Here is a 13,434-nt window from a genome sequence, read left to right as displayed (position 1 = left end):
CCTTATTGAAATAGATGAACCATATATTGACTTGGTAATTGTACTTATTTTTACTTTAATAAATGGCCAATTTGACAGCCCAATCAATAGCATAAGGCTAGGTATTACTGTAATTAGTATCCAATAATACAAAGAAAAATAAGCAGAATGTTCTACCTATAATCAGATATAATAAAATTTTTACAGTTGCATCTTTGCCCATTTTTAAAGGGTCAGAGACTAAATCCAATTAAGAATTTGGTGTAATTCTGTGAAATTAAAACTATGTTTTATGTTTTCTTCTATGAAAGAAGCTAAAAATAATGTGTAAATACAGGTCAAGAGAAGGAACTATAATTACAGTAACAATATTAAAAGCAATAAATCTATATGAAATAAGTGTGGAACCCATTTTGAGAAAGAAAATATAAAAATCAAGCAAGGTTGATATTCCTGCTACTGGTATAATCGCAATTTCTTGAAATGCCCTAATTCAGGTATGGCTTTCATTTTAGAAAGCATTTTAATGCCATGTAACAGCTCTCGAGTTCATAACTCTTCAAGATTGACAAGAAATAGTTCATTTTCTATACTGTGCTTTATTAAAATATAGAAAACCGAGACATCAGGAACGGAAGCACTTTGCACAAGGACAAAAGCCTGACAGAAAGAAGTTCAGATGGCCTCGGCTCTTCTCTTTTATCAGAATTCTCTCGAGGGTGTCATAATTAGAGTTCAGCCAAAACTAAGCCTACTGAAAATGCCTTTCAGCATTTTGTACTTTTGTGACCATGTGTATGAAAAGCTATGTGAACACCAGCTGAATGTTGGAGCCAGTTTGGCCAAGCTGCGAGCGGTGAGATTTTGTTTCAAAATATTTGCGTCTCCTCTACGAAGTGAAATCTTCTAATATTACCTGGACAGCCCCTTAGCAGACTAGGTTTAATAGAATCTGAGAAATGCCACCAGAGATCAGTTTCAGTTAATCCCTAAATTTGTTGCACTGATAAGAAAGAAGGCATCTTCTTTTCTCTAAAGCAGAATAATATGTTTTCATCCACTATTACTGCAACAGCTTTCATATCATCACAAACACACACAATCTCAAATGAACACTCACCACAAACACACACGGGGAAGCAGATGAAGTGATAGGCAATGAGTTTACATTTGCCCTTTTGCTTCCAATCTTCAACTAGCCAAACATTTCTGGCAAGTTTGCTATACTTAGGAGGAGATCATCCAGCTTCCAAATAAAGTTGTCTTTCACCTTATCTGGACGGAGTTGGGGCTCAGGTCTGCGATAGGGTATGCAGCTAGTCACAAATTAATATTATTTTCTGACATTTAAGTCCATTTTCCCATCCCAATGGGGCATGCCCCCCACTTTATGGTAATTTCCCCAGAATTTCTCCATTTAAAATGCACATAAGACAGGTGGCTTCATCCTCTGATGATCTCAGATAAATTAATTAAGTTGGCTGGAGGAAAGCCATTGGAGACAGTCGTTCCTGTAAGCATGTTTAATCAGATCCCGCCGCCTCTGAGTGAAGAGCGGCAGCCTCTTCAATATTCAAGGGGTCTCATCTCTCCTGCCAAGCCCTGCCAGCCCACGCGGGGCGGCAGATAAACTCACCTGCCATTCTTGGTCACAATCATCTCATTAGTGACTTCCTTGAATCTCTGCCAGAGAGGTGCATCCTCCAGGATGATCTGAAGTTGCTTCTCCGTAGGGTCGCCTTTTTCCCTCCCTGCCTGAAGCTCACTCTCCACCACATTGAGCAGATGAGAAACAGTGCCATCGCTGGGCTTCCGAGTGCCCAGCTCACTCATGGCCATAGGCACTTCTCGAACTTTGCCGAGAGCCGTTACCCAACTTGCCTGCTTCTAGCTTCTTCCTTCCCTCACTTGCCTGCTTTTCAAACCCACTTGAACAGTGCTTGGGGAGCGGAGAGAAGATACCCTGGCTCTTGCCTAAGCTCCTAGGATGACACCCCTTAAAAGTCTCCACATTATGCCACCAACCTGTTAAGCTTTAGTTGGGGAGCGGGGTGGAGGCAGGGGAGAGGTAGGGAAGAAAAAGCCCTCTCTTAATTACTCATTGGATCAGGTGGGAGAGAGCCTGGCTTTCCCATTGGCTGCCGTGCACAGAGTAGATATTTAAGAAGAGTACTCCATCCAAATTATCAGGCTTTTATCTTGTTGTACCTGAAGAGGTCTAATCGGTGTATTGAGGACCATTTTCCCATTAATTAAAATTATTCCAGGCCCAGACTGCACTGTCAGGCAAATCATGTTTGTGCATAAATCATGACATGTGGCACCTATAAAGAAAAGGGTCCTGGGGAGAATCGACAAACTTGATGCCCAGGCTATAAGCTACTCTCCAGCATCTTAGACGAAGGCTCTGGAGGGAAGAAAGCATGTATGGAAGGTCCAAGGCACTGTGCCAAGAAACATGACTACTGTACCAGAGAATAAAGGAAGACACTCTGTGTGCCACTGCTCAAGGGTCAGGGCTCCGGAGAAAAGAAAAGAGCTCAGAATCTCTTTCTCCCAGGGTGTCCCCTACTGATCATCTCTCTCCTGAATGTCCTATACTCGCTCACACCCCACTTTTCTCAAGGGCCCTCCTCACCTCCTACAAATGGAGCTGTGAATGTTGTCCTTCCTCCCTAGAGTCTAGAACCCCAATTTTTGTTATCTCTAGCCTTTGCCAGAGGAAGACAAAAAAGCAGCTAGTATCATATTAATCTCGCTAAGGAACACTCTGCCCCCAGTCAGTGAAAATAAACTGTTTACATTATTAGGCAGAGCAATTTCAATCTTTGGTCCAGAAAGGCATTCTGGTTTTCTCTTTAGACAATTCATCCTTATTTTGGCATTCCAGGATGAATCCCACATTCCCTGGGAAGAAACACTAGTAGAAAGCTTTTCTTTTGCCCACAACACACAGTACTAATGGCGAGTGAGTGGATGGCGGGTGGAAGAGACAGGAGCAGAGGAAGCTCTACCTCCTCTGGCCCCCAACCTTGAGTAGAGCCTGGGGGTTGTGAGTTTTTCTCTCATTTCAATACAAAGTAAGAAAACAAGAACATAAGGAAAACAAACCCAAAAAGGTAAGATAAAGTCAGGGTAAGGATGACAGAAAATGTATTCAGGATCTCCTATGCTACATACCTATGAAGCATCACATACAGCAAGGAACAAACAGAAATGGCCTGCGCCTTTACAGAATTAACAATATGATGGAGAAAATAAATGATATAAAGTAAACAACAACTAAGTAATTATCAATAGTGATAAGTCTATGAAGGCTACTTAAAAGGGTGAAGTGATCAAGAAAAATTTGTGCACAGCAGGGTAGGGAACTCCAGTTAGATGGAGTTGTATAGAACAGCTTCTTTGAGGAGGAGACATTTCAGATGAGACCAAAAGCTCAGCAAAGATGTAGTCGGGGAAGAGTTGGCAGAGTGCCAAGCAGAAGAATTACATGTGAGAAGCATGGCTTGAGCCAGGTAGAAATCTCCAGGGAGGCCAGTGTGACCAGAATGTGGTGGTAAAGAGAGCAGAATGAGATGTTCTTTGAGAGAGGGCCAGGCCAGACCATGAGGCCTTAGAAGTCATGATGAAGAATTTGAATGTTCTTCAGCATGAGATAGGAAACAATTGGAGAGTATTAAGTAGGAAAACAGCATGATTGGCTTTGTGTTTGCAAAAAATCTAATCGATTTGTGAAGAATAGACTAGGAAAGGGCAAGAGCTGAAGTAAAGAACAAATTAGAGGCTATGACAGCAATTCAGGCAAGAGCTGGTGATGGCTTAGCCTAGGGTAGTGGCAGTGGCCAAAAAATGAAGTGTACAGGTTCTAGATACACTTTAGAAGTCTATATGACAGAACAACATGAGAGACTGGATATGGGGGTGAGGGAGAGCAGAGAACCATGTGCCTGATCAGAACAATTATTAGATGGCAGGGCCATTTACTGAGATATGGAAGGTGAGGGAGGTGGAAGGGTAGGCAGAGGTACAGTTTGGTTAGGAGACTCAAACATTTCAGTTTCATACAGCTAACACTGAAAAGAATGTGGCAGGCTGAATAAGGACCCCCTGCAAAAGAGACCCATTTCCGAATCCCCAGAACCTGTGAGTGTATTACCTCACATGGGAAAAAGGGACTTTTCAAATGTGATTCAGTTAAGGGTCTTGAGATGGGGAGATTAACCTGGGTTATCTGGTGAGCCCAGTGCAATCGCAAAAATAAGAGGGAGGCAGGAGGATCAAAGTCAGAGGAAGAAGATGTAAGGACAGATGCAGAAGTCAGAGGGGAGAGAAGATGCTACACTCCTGGCTTTGAAGATGGAAAAAGGGGCCAGAAGACACGGAATGTAAGAAGTCTCTAGAAGCTGGGAAAGATAAGGAAATAGATTATCCTCTAAAGCCTCCAGAAGGAACATAGTCCTGCTGACACCTTGGCTTTAGTCCAGTGAAACTAATTTTGGGCTTCTGATTCCCCAAACTGTAAGATAATAGGTTTATGTTGTTTTAAACCACTAAGTTTGTGGTAATTTGGTACAGCAGCAATAGGAGACTAATGCAAAGACTATTAGGTATATAAGTGGAGATTTTGAGAAGGCGCTGCTTAGAACTGTGACACAATTGTGGCTCTGAGCTTCCAAGCAGCCAATGCAAAGTGGGGGAATATAATCTGGCATACATTAAACTGTGTCCCTAAAATAAAAGCAAGCCTTGACCTGTGAGAAATTTCCCCCATAAATCTTTATGAGGAAAACGCTGTGAGATACAGTGAACAATGTCTCCCCAAACAGTCTACCAGTAAGATAAAAATCTTTCCTTCAAATAGTTTTACAATCTAGAAGGGACAGAAAGACACGCTTGTGGAATTCCAATACAGAAATGTGAAGTGTTCTGAAGCACCAGTAAGGGAGAAATGAAGAAAAAACAGAACTAAGACTGGAATATGACAAGGATGACCACTTACACTACTGTTATTCAACATAATACTAGAAGTTCTAGCTACAGCAATCAGACAAGAGAAAGAAGTAAAAGACATCCAAACTGGAAAGCAGGAGGTCAAATTATCCTTGTTTGCAGATGATATGATCTTATATTTGGAAAAAACTAAAGACTCTGCCAAAAAACTATTAGAATATATAAACAAATTCAATAAAGTTGCAGGATACAAAATCAACATACAAAAATCAATATAGCACTTCTATAGGCCAACAGTGAACAATCTGAAAAAGATATCAAAAAAGTAATCCCATTTACAACAGCTACAAATAAAATAAAATATCTAGGAATAATCTTAACCAAAGAAGTGAAAGATCTCTACAATGAAAACTATAAAACATTGATGTAAGAAATAGAAGAGTACATTAAAAAGTGGGGAGATAAACCATGTTCATGGACTGGAAGAATCAATATTGTTAAAATGTCCATACTACACAAAGCACTCTACAGATTCAATGCAAGCCCAATCAAAATATCAATGACATTCTTCACAGAAATAGAAAAAAAAATCCTAAAAATTCATATGGAACCATAAAAGATGCAGAATAGCCAAAGCCATCCTGAGCAAGAAGAAAAAAAACTGAAGGAATCATATTACCTGACTTCAAATTATACTAAAGAGATATAGTAACCAAAACAGCATGGTACTGGCATAAAAACAGACACATAGACCAATGGAACAGAATAGAGAACCCAGAAATAAATCCTACAGTGAATTCATTTCCGACAGAGGTGCCAAGAACATACATTGGAGAAAGGACAGTCTCTTCAATAGATGGTGCTGACACGAACTGGTAAACCTAAAAGAAATGACCAAATTCCTGAAAACATACAACCTCCCAAGACTGAACCAGGAAGAAATTGAAAGCCTGAACAGATCAATAACAAGTTTCAAAATTGAATTAGTAATAAAAAAATTACCAACCAGAAAAAGCCCTGGGCCAGATGGATTTACAGTTGATTTCTACCAGACATATAAAGAGCTGGTACCAATCCTACTGAAACTATTTCAAAAAATAGAGGAGGAGGAACTCTCCCTAACTCATTCTATGAGGCCAGCATCATTCTGATACCAAAACTTGGCAGAAAAAAAAATCTTCAGGCCAATATCCCTGATGAACATACATGCAAAAATCCTTAACAAAATACTAGCAAACCAAATCCAATTCACCACAATCAAGAAAGCTTTATTCCTGGGATGCAAGGTTGGTTCAACATACATAAATCAATAAATGTGATTCATCAAATAAATAGAACTAAAAACAAAATCTGCATGATCATCTCAATAGATGCAGAAAAGGCTCTTGATTAAATTCGACCTTGCTTCATGTTAAAAATCCTCAACAAACTAGGCATCAAAAAGGAACACATCTCAAAATAATAGCCATCTATGACAAACCCACAGCCAACATCATACTGAAGAGGCAAAAGCTGAAAGCATTTCCCTTGAGAACAGAACAAGACAAAGATGCCCACTCTCACCACTCCTATTCAACACAGTACTGGAAGTTCTAGCTGGGGCAATCAGGCAAAAGAAAAATAAAAGGTATCCAAATAGGAAGACAGGAAGTCAAACTATCCTTCTTTGCAGACGATATGATTCTATACCTAGAAAACCCTACAGTCTCTGCCCAAAGGCTCCTAGATATGATAAACAAATTCAGCAAAGTTTCAGGACACAAAATCGGTGTACAAAAGTCACTAGCATTGCTATACACCAACAATGTCCAAGTTGAGAGCTAAATAATGAATGCAATACCATTCACAATAGCCACAAAAAACAAAAACTAAAACACCTAGGAATATGGCTAACCAGGGATGTGAATGATCACAACAAGAATTACAAAACACTGCTTAAAAAAAAAAATCAAAGATGACCCAAACAAATGGAAAAACAGTCTATACTCATGAATAAGAAGAATCAATATTTTAAAATGGCCATACTGTCCAAAGCAATTTACAGATTCAATGCTATTCCTGTAAAACTACCAACATTTTTCACAGATTTTGAAAATATCATTTTAAAATTCATTGGGACCAAAAAGGAGCCCAAATAGCCAAAGCAATTCTAAGCAAAAAGAACTAAGCTTGAGGCATCACACCACTCAACTTCAAACTGTACTACAAGGCTACAACAGTAATTACAATAGCATGGTATTGGTACAAAAGTCGACACAGAGATCACTGGTACAGGTTAGAGAACCCAAAAAAAGAAACCATACGCCTACAACCATCTGATCTTCAACAAAGCTGACAATAGCAAGCAATGAAGAAAGGACTCCCTCTTCAATAAATGGTACTGAGATAATTGGCTAGTTATCTCAATCTTCTCAATATGCAGAAGATTGAAACTGGACCACTATTTATCACCAAATATAAAATTCAACTCAAGTTGGATTAAAGACTTAAATGTAAAACCTAAAACTACAAAAACCCTAGATGAAAACCCAGGAAATATCATTCTGGACATTGGTGCTGTCAAAGGCTTCATGATGAAGACTTCAAAAGCAATTGCAACAAAACAAAAATTGGCCAGGTGCAGTGGCTCACACCTGTAATCTCACAAATTTAAGAGGCCAAGGCAGGTGGATCATCTGAGCCCAGGAATTCAAGACCAGCCTGGCCAACATGGTAAAACCCTATCTCTACAAGAAATACAAAACTCAGCTGGGCATGGTGGTACATGTCTGTAGTCACAGCTGCTCAGGAGGCTGAGGAGGGAGGACCGCTTGAGCCTGGGAGGTGGAAGTTGCAGTGAGTCAAGGTCATGCCACTGCACTCCAGCTTGGGTGAGATAGCATGACCCTGTCTCAAAAAAAGAAAAAAAAAAAAAAGATTAAAAGTGGGACCTAATTAAACTTAAGAGCTTCTGCACAGCAAAACAAACTATCAATAGAATAAACAGGCAACCTACAGAATGGGAGAAAATAATTTGCAAACTATGCTTCTGACAAAGGTCTAATATCCAGCATCTATAAAGAATTTAAATAAATCAACAAGCAAAAAAAATATTTATTAAAAAATGGGCAAAGGACATGAACAGACACTTCTCAAAAGAAGACATACAAGCAGCCAACAAGCATATGAAAAAATGCTCAATATCACTAATCATTAGAGAAACCCAAATCAAAACCACAATTAGATACAATCTCACACCAGTCTGAATGGCTATTACTAAAAAGTCAAAAAGTAACAGATGCTAGTGAGATTGTGGAGAAAAGAGAATGCTTATACACTGCTGGTGGGAATTTTGTAAATTAGTGTAGTCACTGTGGAAAGCAGTCTAGAGATTTCTCAAAGAACTTAAAATAGAACTACCATCAGACCCAGCAATTTCATTACTGTGTGTATACCAAAAGAAATATAAACCATTCTCCATAAAGACACATGCACACGAATGTTCATCACAGCACTATTCACAACAGCAAAGACATGGAATCAACCTGGATTCCCACCAGTGGTGGACTGGATAAAGAAAATGTGGTACATATACACCTTGGAATACTATACAGCCATAAGAATGAGATCATGTCTTTTGCAGCAACATAGACAGTCATTATCCTAAGTGATTTAACACAGAACAGAAAATCAGATTCTACATGTTCTCACTTATAAGAGGGAGCTAAACACTGAGTACACACAGATACAAAGAAGAGAACAACAGATACTGGGGCCTACTTGAGGCTGGAGGGTGGGAAGAGGGTGAGGATTGACAAACTACTATCAGGCATTATGCTAATTACCTAGGTCACAAAATTAGCTGTACACCAAACCCTGAAACATGCAATTTACCCATGTAATAAACCTGCACATGTACCCCTTGAGCCTAAAAGTTGGAAAGAAAAAAATTTTTAAATAAAATAAAAATTTGGGGTCAACAGAAAAGAATGTTATGATAAATAAATACATAATGCTGAGAAAACTGAATATCCACATGCAGAAGAATTAAACTAAACCCCTATCTCTCCCCATATACAAAAATAAAATCAAAAGGGATTAAAGACTTAAATCTAAGACCTCAAACTATGAAACTATTAATACTAACAGAAAACATGGGGGAAACTCTCCAGGACATTGGTCTGAGCAAAGATTTCTTCGGTAATACCACAAAACCACAGACAACCAAAGCAAAAATAGACAAATGAGATCACATTAAGTTATTAATAAAAACCTTCTGCACAGCAAAGGAAATAATCCACAAAGTGAAGTGACAACCCACAGAATAGGAGAAAATATTTGCAAACCAGAATTATTAAGGGATTAATAGCCACAATATATCAGGAGCTCAAAAAACTCAACTGGAAAAATAATCTAATAATCTGATTTTAAAATAGGCAAAAGATCTGAATAGACATTTCTCAAAAGAAGACATACAAATGGCAAATGAGAAGTGCTCGACACCACTGATGATCAGAGAAATGAAAATGAAAACTACAATGAGATATCATTTCATCCCAGTTAAAATGGCTTTTATCCAAAATACAGGCAATAGCAAATGCTGGCGAGGATGTGGAAAAAAGGGAACCCATACACACTGTTGGTGTGAATATAAATCAGTGCAACCACTATGGAGAACAGTATGGAGGTTCCTCAAAAAACTAAAAATAGAATAACCATACGATCCAGCAATCCCACTTCTAGGTATATACCCCCAAAGAAAAGAAATCAGTTTTTTTAAGACATACCTGCACTCCCATGTTTATTGCAGCACTCTTCACAATAGCCAAGATTTGGAAGCAACCTAAGTGTCCATTAACAGACAAATGGATAAAGAAAATCTGGTACGTATACACAATGGAGTACTATTCAGCCATAAAAAAAGAATAAAAGCCTGTCATTTGCAACAATATGAATGGAACTGGAGGTCATTATGTTAAGTGAACTAAGCCAGGCACAGAAAGAGAAATTTTGCATGTTCTCACTAATGTATGAGAGCTAAAAATTAAAACAATTGAACTCAGAGAGTAGAATGCTGTTTACCAAAGGCTGGGAAGTGTAGTGGGAGAGTAGTAGGAAGTAGAGATGGTTAATGGGTACAAAAATATAATTAGATAGAATGAATAAAATCTAGTTGTATTGTTGACTACAGTCAATAATAATTTATTGTATATTTTTAAATAACTAAAAGAGTATAATTGAAATGTTTATAACCACAAAGAAATGACAAATGCTTGATTGAGGTGATGGATATCCCATTTACCCTGTTTTGATTTTTATGCATTGTATGCCTATATCAAAATCTCATGTGCCCCATAAATATATATACCTACTAGGTACCCATAACATTAATTTTTTTTTTTTTTTTTTGAGACAGAGTCTTACTCTGTCACCCAGGCTGGAGTGCAGTGGCATGATCTTGGCTCACCACAACCTCCACCTCCCAGGTTCAAGCAATTCTCCTGCCTCAGCCTCTCGAGTAGCTGGGATTACAGGGGCTCACCACCGTGCCTGGCTAATTTTTGTATTTTTAGTGGAAATAGGGTTTGACCATGTTGGCCAGGCTGGTCTCCAACTCCTCTCCTCAAGTGATCCACCCGCCTCAGCCTCCCAAACTGCTGGGATTACAGGCATGAGCCACTGCACCCAGCCTAAAAATAAAATATTTTTAAACAATTTTTTAAAGTGAAGAAAATGACTGCCCTTTAGCCCTATGAATAAATAAAACAATAACAAGATTTTATAATCTAATCTTTTAAATTTAACAACATACAAAGAATATTTTTCCCATGTCACCAAATAATTTTCTACATTATCTTGACACTTGCAAATTATCCCATCTTATAAATGAGCCATTTTTTAACCAATCTAATATTCCTATGTATTTACTTTTTTTTATAAGTTTAAACAATTAAAATTCCAGGTAATAAATATTTAGGAACATCCATAATTGTTTTCTTACACTGTATTTTTTAGAAGTAGTGTTGACAATAATAAAACATGCTGATCATATTTACATCTCATTTATAACAATCTTATAAGGTAAGTGGTGTAATTATACCCCTTTTATAGGTGAGAAACTTGAAGGTCACAGTGGTTAAGTAACTTGACCACAAGTACCTAGACAATGACTACTAAGGCAGGTATTTAAGCCCAGGGAGTCCAAACAGGTAGACTTCATTTTAACCCTTCGATTTCCAGGAATTCATTCATTCAGAGACACAATGAGAAAATCAGGAGATTCTAATTATCTCCATAATATAGATGAAAAAAACAGGTAAGAAAGGAAAAAAGGACTTGTCCAATATTCAATGAACCAGGAGAAGAGTTAGAAAAGGAATGACTCAGCCAGGCACGGTGGCTCACGCCTGTAATCCTAACACTTTGGGAGGCCAAGGCAGGTAGATCACTTGAGATCAGGAGTTCAAAGCCAGCCTGGCCAACATGGTAAAACCCCGTCTCTACTAAAAATACAAAAAAAAATTAGCCTGGCGTCGTGGCAGGCACCTGTAATCCCAGCTACTCAGGAGGTTGAGGGAGGAGAATAGCTTGAACCCAGGAGGCTTGCAGTGAGCCGAGATCATGCCGCTGCGCTCCATTCTGGGTGCCAGAGCGAGACTCCATCTCAAAAAAAAAAAATGAATGACTCCCCCCGCCAATTAATCTCCATCTGAGCACAGAGTACCAAGGTGTACAAGTCATGTCACTTTTAGGGAACCAGCAAGAAAGACTTTCTCATGAGTGGTCTCAATTCTCTTGTCAGGCTGGGTTAATAGAAAACTAGCAGGTGGAGCTCCTCCATCCCACTGTATTTCCCTTAACCATAAAAATTCTTTTTTACCTGTTATATATTGGCCTGCCATGGAAGGTTTTGTTATGAAGAAAAAATAAGTGAGAAAGTGTTTTCATATTTTTTAAATTAGATATAAAAGTTTTTAAAAATGTTTCCAAATCTCTGGACTAAATAATGTCTAAGGTATTTCCCAACTCTAACAATCTAGCGTTTCCTCTGATATGTATTGATGGTGTAAGGAAAATGGCTGTGCTTCAGTCAGGAGTAGGCTGAGGTAGACATCCAGTACAGCATGACACACTGGGTTTGGAGTGCAGGGACACAATCCTATGCATTATATAATCACATGTATGTAGCCATTTGATGTAACCAGTTTGTGTGAGATGGTACCTGGCTTTGAGCCATTATTGTCTGTGAGTAGTATAACTACACTGCTGACTCTGTAGGAGGGGAGAGAATAAAGCCATGTCCCAACTGCCTATGGTCCCTTGAGTGTTCTTTCAGCTACCCACCACCAATCCACCAACTCCGCTTGGACCTCAGCTCGGGCTGGAACCTGACAATTGGCGTAGTCAGCAGGATCCCAAGGTGAGTGAGTGAGTCCTTGGCCCCGATGATCCCGGGGGGGCCATGTGGCCCCAGCATGGGTTATGGTACCTGGTGGCAGCTGTGATGCTAGGATGGGCCCCAGTGGAAACATGGGCGGTGGTGGACAGGTCTCCCATGAGCATGGAGAAGGGGCTGAAGCACCCAGAAGGACAGAGCACCAAGAAGGAGCTGCTTTTGCCGGCAGAGTTGGATGGGCGTTTTTGACTGTACTACGGGAAGCACACACTCAGTCCCTGCGGGATGCACACAGGTAAAGGCACCTCCAGGAACAAGCAGAGTGCCAGGAGGCCCGGATACACAGCTTGGAATGAGAATTAGGAGCTGCCATTAGTGTGGGCCTGGGCCCACCATCCCAGCCAGAGACCCTCGCTTGTTCTGATACCTAGGAGGAAGAACCCCTGTTTCGGGCTCGCCCAGTTGTCTGTCAGAAAATAGAGCATGAACACCTGTTGGAGCCCCACAAATGGCGGGCACAGAGACCCCTACCATGACGGAGCACACGTCATGCAGTTCCTATACCCCAACTGAGTTGCGGGAATTAGGTAAACAGCTTTGGCAGCGTTTGGGGGAACCCCTACCCGCCTGGACGCTTCACCTTTGGGATGAGGGAGCCAACAGTATCGTCTGCTTCACTTCTGAAATGGAAAAGTAGACCTCCATTATGACCCATCTCTCCCTGCGTCACTGATTGCAGGTAAGCAGGCAGTTAGCACAGGGGCAAGGCAACCACACTCTAATTGAATAGCTGATGGTAGCCATATGAACGGTATGGAACAATTAGCATAGGGGCAAGGCAACCACACTCTAATTGAATAGCTGATCGGCATGGAACAATGCCAGAGAAATATCAGAAACTATGAGTAAATAGCAGTTGTACACAGATTTGGTGCAAGTAATTCAGGAGATGGGTATGTGGCAGGCTATGTTCAATCTGAATACCCGAGGGCCAGATGATGAACACTTTACCTCCCACATGAGGGACCTTGTGTTAGGCTCTGCACTCCCGAGTGCCTTCAGCTCCCAGGCCGTTGTTCTCACTCTGTATGTGGGGCACCACATACATGAGGTGACTACCACCATGG

General features: G+C 40.0%; 1 protein-coding gene across 1 annotated transcript in view, besides 1 other annotated feature; it reads right to left on the bottom strand.

Annotated features, from left to right (window-relative positions):
• Positions 1-2,032, bottom strand: part of TBX19 (T-box transcription factor 19) — a 33,550-nt gene extending 31,518 nt beyond the window's left edge. Inside the window, exon 1 of the mRNA NM_005149.3 lies at positions 1,616-2,032. Within this exon, the coding sequence (NP_005140.1) occupies positions 1,616-1,818 (203 nt within the window). The 5' untranslated portion in view covers positions 1,819-2,032. The remainder of the gene's footprint in view (positions 1-1,615) is intronic.
• Positions 12,042-12,542: an enhancer, noted in NCBI's record as "H3K27ac hESC enhancer chr1:168239605-168240105 (GRCh37/hg19 assembly coordinates)". NCBI's record gives its function as "activates a minimal SCP1, AML or CMV promoter by ChIP-STARR-seq in naive H9 embryonic stem cells {active_cell/tissue: H9 hESC(naive)}" and the evidence as "EXISTENCE:reporter gene assay evidence [ECO:0000049][PMID:30033119]".

This window comes from Homo sapiens, chromosome 1 (genome assembly GCF_000001405.40).
Source record: "Homo sapiens chromosome 1, GRCh38.p14 Primary Assembly".
Taxonomy (NCBI): Eukaryota; Metazoa; Chordata; class Mammalia; order Primates; family Hominidae; genus Homo; species Homo sapiens.
This window is presented reverse-complemented; position numbering and strand designations above follow the sequence as displayed.